This window comes from Homo sapiens, chromosome 3 (genome assembly GCF_000001405.40).
Source record: "Homo sapiens chromosome 3, GRCh38.p14 Primary Assembly".
Lineage (NCBI taxonomy): Eukaryota > Metazoa > Chordata > Mammalia > Primates > Hominidae > Homo > Homo sapiens.
Window position 1 is genome coordinate 8,112,952 of NC_000003.12, and position 11,069 is coordinate 8,124,020.

The following is an 11,069-nucleotide window of genomic DNA, read 5'->3' on the forward strand; positions in this document are numbered from 1 at the left end:
CCGCTGCCCACCCCGTGGTGTGCTAGACTCGTCCAACTTAGAATCACCACTACTCCCTGCAAGTGTGTCCATGGTGCTAAACATCCCCAAGTATTTGTATATAGTGCTTTGTACAGGGTGATTTATGTGCATTCATGTGATGGTTCAGAATCTCAACGAGAGGACGATGTTTGCCACTGCTGTACAGAAAAAGGTATGTGACAGCTACCAGCTTATCTTTTACATTGATCAATTTGTCATATCCCCCTTTCAATGGTATGGATTGTTCCTTTAGTATTTGGGCAAAGCCAATGCTAATGACCTTGCATTGAGTGCTGCTTTCAGAGCTACAAGGTGCTTTCATATGCATCGTTTCAGGAGGCCCTCAAACAAGCTGATGAAATAACAGTAGCAAGGCAACACTACCGCACATTATACAAACTTGGAAAACAGAGGCCAGGGCAGTGTGTGATGTGTCCCAAGGTCACCTGACAAGGTTCTGACAGACCCACAGTGAGATCACAGGTCTCCAGTTTCTTGGCTTAGAGGCCTTCAATTTGCAGATTCTGGTAGGAAACATAAAGTCTCCTTTCACAAGCAACATAGGATGATGGAAAAAAAAAAAAAAACAGCATCAAATCTGGCTTCCAGGAACTTCCCCTTGAGAACTTGACTCTTCCATTGGCTAGATCTTCCTCTTTTCATTGAAATTGTTTCGTTATTTGGTGAACAATGGGTTTTCAGCTGCTACCGTGCAATTAAGCTCCTTGCTGATTGAAAAAGAAATTATATGATAGCATACTGGAGTGGCTTATTGCTCCTCCCATGAAGAATCTATGGGCTTGTTTTCCTAAGGTTTGTTTTCTATCTAAATGACGTCACAAATTAGTAGTCAACGATTGCACTTGTAATCATGCCAAAGGCATCCCAGCTTCTCTCTGTCAGGCCTCTGAGCCCAAGCTAAGCCATCACATCCCCTGTAACCTGCACGTACACATCCAGATGATCGGTTCCTGCCTTAACTGATGACATTCCACCACAAAAGAAGTGAAAATGGCCTGTTCCTGACTTAACTGATGACATTGTCTTGTGAAATTCCTTCTCCTGGCTCATCCTGGCTCAAAAGCTCCCCCACTGAGCACCTTGTGATCCCCACTCTGCCCGCCAGAGAACAAACCCCACCCTTGACTGTAATTTTCCTTTACCTACCCAAATCCTATAAAATGGCCCCACCCCTATCTCCCTTCGCTGACTCTCTTTTCGGACTCAGCCCACCTGCACTCAGGTGAAATAAACAGCCATGTTGCTCACACAAAGCCTGTTTGGTGGTCTCTTCACACGGACGCACATGAAACTCTCTTTGCGCTTTCCCTACTCCACACAGTAACCAGAGTGATCCTTTGAAACCATATGGCAGCCCCTGTCACTGCTTTGCACAGAATCTTCCAGTAGCTTCCCATTACAATAAGAGGAAAAGTCAAAATCATTACTAGACCCTGGACAATCTTCTCTCAGCTCCCCACGTCTCTCAGATCTCATCTGCTCATCTGCTCCTCCCTCTCCTAATCATTCTGCTCTAGCCTCACCAGCCTCCTAACTACATTTACAACATTTTTTAACACACCAAATGTATGTGTGTGCAGGACTTTTGCACTTACTGTTTTCTTTGCTGGAACTCTCTCCCAGGTTTATACATGCCTGCCCCTTTATCTCCTTCAGGTCTGCTTAAATGTCATCTTTCCAATGTGCTCTTCTAGCAAGGAAAGGATTTGCTTGTTTGGTTTGCTGCTGAATGCTCAGCTGCTAGAATACTCAATACATATTCATTGAACCATTAGAATGAATTTTATACACACACACAGACACATACACACACACACACACACACACACACATATATGTATATATAGTGTTTGCTGTATACCTTATTTAAAATAATTTATGTGAGGAGTCTAAACTTATGCAATGGATATATTATGACCCTCTCCACTATAAAAGTCTTAGATACTGACATTGTCTATTACAGAGAAGTATGTGTAGTTTCTGACGCTGGCAGAGAGAGACAAACAGCCAGTGAAACTTCATGTTCAAACATTAGTAGGAACTACTCACTGTCAGTAGTACAAATAAGACAGTGAGAAATCAGGTCTTGATTTATATACAACCCTTTAAATCTAACTTTTCATAGTCTGAGGTTGCATAATATTCTGTATGTAACTTAAATCTCTCATATTGACTGTTCATCAAGGATCTACTCTTTGGTTAAACCAAAAAAGGTAAAATGAATGCTCTTAAAAAGGCCACTGTTTTGTTTTGTGTTTCTTCAGAGCAGACTCTGAGAAAAGAACTGGAGGGCACATAATTTATTTGGGAGGGGATCCCCGGAAACAAGACAAGATAAAGGTGGGATGAGACAGGGAAAGGAAAAATGCCGATAAAAGGACTTTTAATAAGCAAATGATGACTGAGGACATGCGGAACTGAGTCTCCTTGGGAACTCTGGGAGGCTGGGTAGGAAATGCCTCCAGGAAAGGAGGATGCTTAGTGGTCTCAGTAGTAGAGGCGCATGCAGTGGGCTATATAGCCTGGAGGAGGGAGAAACCATTTCTGTAGAGAGAGCTTCTGGAGACATCCAAAGGAGGTGATTCTCAAGAGATATGCCAGAGATGACGGAGCAGGGCAGTCAGGCCCTGGAGGAAGCACAAACGGCCATTAGAGATGTCAACTCACATACCTGGCTATTCTAGACATGGGACTATTTCTCCAATAGTTGAATTTAATTTTTCCTTGAACTTGTATTCACTATCATTTCTTGGCCTTTTGGCTAAGATCAAGTGAACCTGCACCCACTGGAAGGCAGACAATCAGTTTATTTTATTGCTCCCCTCTGTCTCACTCCAGGGATTTGCAGAAGCCCCAAAGAGAATAAGGGAAGTGGAAAAATCTGATTCTCTGTTTTGGGGTTCTAGTGGTTTAATTTTATAGGTCAACTTGGCTGGGCCACTGCATACAGATATTTGGTCAAACATTAGTTTGGATGCCACTGAGAAGGCATTTTTAAAATGAGATTAACATTTAAATTAGTAGCCTGAATAAAGCAGATTATGCTCCATCATGGGAGCAAATCTCATCCAATCAGTTGAAGCCCTAAACAGAAAACCAACTGACCTCCCCATAGGAAGAGAGAATTCTGCCTGGAGATGGCTTCTAGACTAGAGCTGCAACATCATTCTCTGAGTCTCCAGCCTACAGCACTGCCATGCAGAATTTGGACTTGCTGGCCTCCACAGTCATGTGAACCACTTCCTTAATCTCCTCTCTCTCTCTCTCTCTTTCTCACTCTCTTTCTCTGTCACTTTCTCTCTCTCTTTAAAATATATATAATCTATGAGATTTGCTACCTCACCAGCCTCAGCCAAAGATGCTCTGGCTTGGAGTCCCCAAACTTACATTTTCATTTTCCAGCCCCTTGCCAGAACACACTGGGGAATGGGTTTGCAAAGTGTGTGGAAGGGAGAAGAGAGGGGGCTTTCACAGGGGCTATGCTAGCAAATCACTGATTCCCCTCAGGCATCCCATCCCTCTCCACAATCTTCAGCTGTCACTTGCTTATCCTGTTTTCTTTTTCTTGTTTTTTGTTTGTTTGTTTCCTTGTAGAATTTTTTAAATTTTATTTTAATTGTAAATTGGCAAATTATAATTGAATATATTTATGGGATACAAAGTGATGTTATGATTTATAAATACAACGTGGAATAATAAATCAAGCTAATTAATGTATTTATCACCTCAAATACTTATTCCTTTTTGTGGTGAGAACATTTAAAATTTACTCTCTTAGTTATTTTGAAATGTATGAAACACTGTTACTATATTCACACTGCTGTGCAATCTATCTCAAAGAAAATAAAACCATATTGCTTTTGTCTAATTGAGGCATTGTACTCTTTTTTTTTGAGATGGATTCTTGCTCTGTCACCCAGGCTGGAGAGCAGTGGTGTGATCTAGGCTCACTGCAACCTCTGCCACCCAGGTTCAAATGATTCTCATGCCTCCCAAGTAGCTGGGACTACAGGCACCCACCACCACACCTGGCTAATTTTTGTATTTTTAGTAGTGACGGGGTTTCACCATGTTGGCCAGGCTGGTCTCAACTCCTGACCTCAGGTAATCTGCCCGCCTCGACTTCCCAAAGTGCTGGGATTAGAGGCATGAGCCACCCTGCCCAGCCTGAGGCATTGTACTTTTTAGCTATCGTCTCCCCATTTATACCTCCTCCCTTAGCTTCTGTGATTAACATTCCATTTTCTGCTTCTCTGAGTTCAAATATAAGTGATTTTATTCCACATATAAGTGAGATCATGCCTTATTTGTCATTCTGTGCCTGGCTGGTTTAACTTAACATAATGTCTTCCAGGTTCATCCATGTTGTTGCAAATTACATTTTTTAAAAAATTAGTAAAGGCTGCATAGTATTCATTGTATATATATACATAACACACTTTCTTCATCCATTCATTGTTGATGAACACTAAGGTTGATTCCACAGCTTGACTTTTGCAAATGATGTGCAATGTATATGAGAGAGCAGACATCTCTTTAACAAAGTGACTTCAAATCTTTTGGGTATATACCCAGAAATGGGATTTCTGGATCATACGGTAGGTCTATTTTTAGTTTTTTGAGGAATCTCCATATAGTTTTTCAAATTGGCTGTACTAATTTTTATCCCCACCAACAGTATGCAAGCGTTCCATTTTTTCTACATCTTTACTGTCATTTGTTATCTTTTGTCTTTTTTGTAATAGCCATACAGACAGGTGTGAGATATCTCATTGTAGTTTTAACTTGCATTTCCTCAAGGGTTAATGATGTTGAGCATTTTTCATGTACCTGTTGGCCATTTGTTTGTCTTCTTTTGAGAAATGTCCGTTCAGGTCATTTGCCTATTTTAAAAAATTGAATTATTTGTTTTCTCTCTATAGAGTTGTTTCAGTTACTTATATATTTTGGATATTAATCCCTTATCAGATGTATGGCTTGCACATATTTTCTTCTAATCTATAGGTTGTTTCTTCACTCTGTTGTTTTTTTGTTGTACAGAAACTTTTCATTTTGATCTAACCCTATTTGCCAGTTTTTGCTTTTATTGCCTGTGCTTTTACTTTTGTGCTAGTTTCCTTCTAAATTACTTACCTTTGAAGGAAATAAGTTTTTTTCTGAAACACTTACAAAGAAGAGATCAGGGATATATTTCAGGCGAGCAGGAATTTTTCTTTAACCTGAGTTTTTGTATGTGAGTTTGTTTAGCTTTTACATCTTTCTAAGCAATGTAAAAAATGGCTATGAGACTGTTTATAATTGTAAATTCCATCTTTTCTTCCACTACCTCAATGACAAACTGCTGCCTGCAAATATGGCTGCACTGTGTGATTCTTTATGGTCTCTGTGTGACCCACTTTTTGAATTCCCCAGATTGAGATAGAATCCAGGACAACTTCATCTGTCAGCCTGGATTCCTGTTTCCAAATTCTGCCCCCAAGAAACTTATGGTTTTCACATCAAAGTGTGCTCCTTTAGCTTTAGGAATTATTTTTTCCAGAGTTTTTCTGAGATCTGCATTCTTAAAGTAACCTATTTCCTCCCACATACACCCCTGCTCAGCCTCTATCTCTGTGGTCTGCCCTTCTGCCTATTTCATAGTTTAAGATTTCAGTAGTTTCCCCATTTCACTGAAGGCAAGTTTGTATTTCTGTTTTTTTCTAGTGACTTTGTGCCATCGTGTTCAAACCAGAGGTCTCTTATATCTCTTATGAACTCATTATTTAGCCTGACAGGGCAAAGAAAACCCTGGCTCTATCCAGTCAGATGTTTCTCTGTCCCTAATTGTTTATATTTGAAGATTAAAAAAAATTAAAGAAAATGTATACCCTGAGTTCTCTGGACTTAGAAGTCCAAAAGGTCATATTCTTTCAACTAAAAAGCCTTTTCTCTCAAAACTCCTCTATCTGAAATGTTTTTCAAATGTCTGCTTTAAAACCTCAAAGCCAAGATTTAACTTTTGGGTTACCTGGGATGCACCAAACAGCCATATTAGAAATCAGTGGGTACTTCAAATGTAAGGCAATAGATTCATATACATAAATATAAATATATTTATATTTAATATTAATATATTTATTTATATATAGATTTTTATATATCTGTATATTTACTGAGAAAAAAAGCTATGCCAGCTAACATGTCAAATTATTCCTCTGCTACACAGTGTGTGGTAACATTTCAGAAGCAATACACTGGGGCTAATGGCCTTTTATTATGGTACAGTGACTTATTACAGAAAAAAAAATTTTTTAAACCCTACTGTAAATAAGCAACAAGTAAGTGCAAGAACAGCAGTTTGGCAAACAAATTTTTAATTGTCCGTCTAAACCAATCAATTATTCAATATCTTTCATGTTCTCTCTCATGTTCTCTCTCTCTCTAAGATAGCGTAATTATTTTTAAAAATTTTCTAAATTTTTTAACTCAATTTTTTAGTGATTTAACCACCATGTCAGATTTGTTTACACAAAAGACATGGTAAAATTTTCTATGACTTTATTGGAGGCAATATTAGCTAGAAATCATTAATAATATAAACAAAAACAATTTTAGCTATCCACTCTTAAGATACACATTACATTCCTCCTCTATCCCAATAAAATAGTATTTCCAATGCCTACAAACTATATTACCGTGTTTATTTAGAGCCAAATGAATAATTTCTTGATGGCAATATTAACTAGCATTTATTCATATTTTTAAGTGTTACTTACTCCTTCTCTGACACAGATTCTGACAGAGACATGGAGGTAACCTAATCATGCTTCTTTCAGCACCATTTTCTCTGAAAAATAAATTATCAGAAGTTGTTTACTTGCATAAATAGTATTCTGAATAAAACTTTCTTTTATTCAGTTTTGTATAAAATATCATAACCTTTCCTGCGGAACACATTGTAACTGTTTATCTTTGGTCTACAAGTTCTGCAATGGCCTGTACCCAAAGCAACAAAATTCTGACATTTAGAAAGAGTCAAATATCTCAAATAGGTTGTTTCATTTTGTTTTTTTGTCTAAAAAAATCCAAGGTGATCCAGCAGCTGCAGATGATTAGAAGTGAATGGCAAAGCAATGTCAAGAGATTCTACATCCACAAAACAAGAGTTTCAACCACAGAAGGGCACAAGGAGACAAACTCAGACTCCAAGGTTGTCAAGTACAAATAATACAAAGCAGCCGGGCACAGTAGAGCACACTTCCCACAGTGGAGCACTTTGGGAGGGCAAGGCAGGTAGATCATTCGAGCCCAGGAATTCAAGACTAGCTTGGGTAACATGGTGAAAACCCATCTCCAAAAAAATTTTAAAAATTAGCTGGGCATGGTGGCACACACCTATAGTCCCAGCTACCCAGGAGGCTGAGGCAGGAGGATTGCTTGAGCCTAGGAGGTTGAGGCTGCAGTGAGCCTTGATCACACCACTGCACTCCAGCCTGGGTGACAAAAAGAGACCCTGTCCCCAAACAAACAGTACAAAGCACTGAGCCAGAAGACCTGGGATTGTGAACCACCCAAGTTTTTTAAACAATCTGGGCCTTGTTTTCCTCATAGCAAACCTGGGAAAAATATTATAATTCCCAATAGAATTATCTTGAAGTGAAGTTCACATGTAAAAAACACTACGCAAACTGTGTGATATATACAATGGCACCCATCATTATTAACAAACCATTGAATTTTATTTACTAAATAAAACCATCCACAAAGCATTGCATCTCTTTGCTGTGTCTTCAGTTTATCCCTTGCTTAGTTGGGATCTCCAGAAGAACAGTTTGAAACTGAGATGCTTGGTGCGAGGATGGTCTCAGGAAAAACCCATAGGAAGTGGGGAAACAGAATAGGGCAGAGAGTGAGAAGCCCAGACAACATGTGGTTTCCACTAAAGTCTAGCCTCAGCCTGATCCCATGGGGAGCTCTGGGATGTAAATGGCATCATAGAGTAACCTTGAGACAAGGGAGGCTTTTGTTTTCCTACAATGACATCTGTCACTGGCTATGAGGGAGGTGGGAGCAATACAATATCCAAGGGATTTCCAGGTGAGATAGCTCCATCTATCAGGAAAAATTCTCCAATGAAGGATATAGATATAGCTGGCTGCAGCCAGCCCTCTCAGCACAGGGTGCATACACCAGTCAGCTACCTTTCCTATCTGGACGGGGCACCAGTAACATTTGCCTGCCATCATTTCCTTGTTGACACAGAAAAAATACTACGGTGCCCATATCTTTCTCACATGTATTCCCTATGTAGAATCAGATTCTTTGCTAGTTCACTCAAAGCCTTCATCAACAAAACCAGCAACAGGTGAAGTTAGATTAACTGGAACTAAGTTTTAAAATCACCAGATACGCACTGTTTAATAATGTAATTCACAGACTAAAGCTAGACATGAAAATGATGTTTGTCCATGTTCATAAATCCACCTGACATTTATTGAACTCCTACTATGTACCAGGCACTCTGCTAGCTACTTACACGTGGTATTTCTTGCTATCCTTAAAATAGTTCTATAAAATCGGTAGATGTTGTCTTCCTTCTGCCCACCTTTTATTTTTATGGTTCAGGTAAACTGAGGCTCACTTGAAAAGTATTCATTTGGGAGACAGAATGCCCAATGCCCCAAATTACCAAGATTTGAGACCCTCTTTGAGATCTCTAGTTCATACTTAGGCAACGTTGAAAGTTATATTTGGCAGTTCAATTCCATAAACAATTTGAAGCTTCCATGTGCAACACATTTTGCACATGGGTGCAATAAAGAAAAGAGCAGTAAATCTTCGTCCTGCCCTCCAAGAGTTTACAGGAGGGTAGATGTATTTGATGGTGCAAATGGTTCTGCAGTAGTAGTGTATCTCCAAAGAGAGAAAAGGGATTAATCCAACATGCCTTCACTAAACACCTATTATGTGCCAGGCCTTGAATCAGGATTAGGGGTAGGAATATAAAGGAAAAAGTCGCAGTCCCTGCTCCAGAAGAATGTATGGTTTAATGATATGATTTGTTTTGAAAAACTCAATTTTTTGGCTCTTAAGTCTAAATCTTAAAATGTAATCTTATTTCTACCTCAGTGTTATGTTTAATTGGTTCCAGAATGGGCAGGAATGCAGCCATTCCGCAGGCTACATCATTTAACTAATTCATTCATGTGCAATGCATCAAGTTCTTGCTAGAGAATAAAAATTGACATTGGTCCTGCTGGGACCAAATAAGACAAAATAAGAGCTAAATTAGATATTTTCACTTTGGTAACACAGGAAAAGCACACTCTTAGAGGGCAAGGTTAGACATTAGCCATAATCTGGAATAATCTGAATTGCAATAGTTGCCACATTAAATAGACATATTTAACTTACTGGAATAAAAATTTCAATCACGCTTTGCATTTTTAGTTCTCTAAAACAGAAGCACTAATTTAATTATCCTCCCTCCTCCATCAGATTTCATCTTCATTTCAACCCAGATATCAGGGATCATTTCTGTTTCTGAGCTTACTGGGTATTTTTCTATTTGTGACTAACGACATTGATCAATTCTGTCTCAAATGAGAGATCTTCTTTATATGTCTCATGTCTTACTTCTTTTACTGTTTTAGTTTGTTTTCTGTTTCTATAACAGAATACCACAGACTTGGTAATATATAAAGGAAAAAAACGTTATTTATCTTATGATTCTGGAAGTCCAAGACCATGGCATGGCATCTGGTGAAGGCCTTCTTGCCGCATCACAACATGACTGACAGAGGGAATCACACGGTGAGATGGCAAGAGCAAGAGAGCCAGAGACGGCTCACTTTTATAACAAAGCCTAACCCACTCCAGTGATTGTAACACTATCCATTCATGAAGGCAGAGGGGTTAAGTCTCTAACACATGAACTTTTGGAAGACGCATTTAACTATATGATTTCATTCCTGGCCCCTCAACTTTATGTCCATCTCGCATTCAAAATACATCAATTCCATCTCAAGAGCCCCAAAGTCTTAACTCATTTCATCACCGATTCAAAAGTCCAATGTCCAGAGTCTTATTTAAATCAGATATGGGTGAGATTCAAGGTGTGATTTATACCATAGCAAATTCCCCTCAGCTGTGAGCCTGTGAAATCCAAACATGTTATTTACTTCCAAAATACAAAATGGGATAGGAATGAGGCAGACATTCTCATTCCAAAAGGGGGAAAGAGGCAAGAAAAGAGGAGTAACTGGTCCCAGGTAAGTCCTAAATCCACAGGAAAAATAATTTTAAACCTTGAAGCTTCAGAATAATCTTTCACTCCACGGGCCACCTCCTAGTTACACTGAGGGATTTAGGCCCTGTACCAAAGCCTTCAGCAGCACTGCCCCTATGGTTTTGCTGAGCTCAGACTATGCAGTGGTTCTCACAGGTTGGAGTTATGTGCCTGCAGTTTTTCCAGCCTGGCACTGCACACAGGTAACTCTACAGTTCTTGAGTATTGAGGGTGGCCCTGCCCCTGTGGCTCCACTTGGCATTGCCCTAGCGGGGGGGTCTCTGTGGTGGCTTCAGCTCTGACCCCACATTTCCATTCAGCGTTGCCCTTCTAGGGGCTCTCTATGGTGACTCTGCCACTACGACGAGTCTCTGCCTGAGCCCCTCTACTATTGGAGACATCCTTTGAAATCCAAGTGGAGGAAATCCTGCCCCCACAACTATTGCATTTGTATACCTGCAGAATTAGAACCTCATGGACACTGCCAAGGCTTACAACTTGTAGCTTCCAAAGAGACTGGTTGAGTACCTTGTGGTGTCACTTGAGCCACAGCGGGGGCTGGCCAAGATGTGCTTCACCAGAAGGCAGAGAGCAGAGACCTTAGGTGGCCCTGGGCAGTGGCCCATCTCCTGAAACTATTCTGCCCTCCTAGAGCTCTGGGCCTGTGATGGGAGAAGCAGCCTGAAAGATCTCATTAATGGCTTCTGGATTTTTCTCCCATCATTCATATGAATAGCCTCTGGCTTAGTTCTATCCATAT

At 39.9% G+C, this 11,069-nt stretch overlaps 1 annotated feature.

The window, feature by feature from the left end:
- Positions 660–1,233: an enhancer, noted in NCBI's record as "OCT4-NANOG-H3K27ac hESC enhancer chr3:8155298-8155871 (GRCh37/hg19 assembly coordinates)". NCBI's record gives its function as "activates a minimal SCP1, AML or CMV promoter by ChIP-STARR-seq in naive and primed H9 embryonic stem cells {active_cell/tissue: H9 hESC(naive and primed)}" and the evidence as "EXISTENCE:reporter gene assay evidence [ECO:0000049][PMID:30033119]".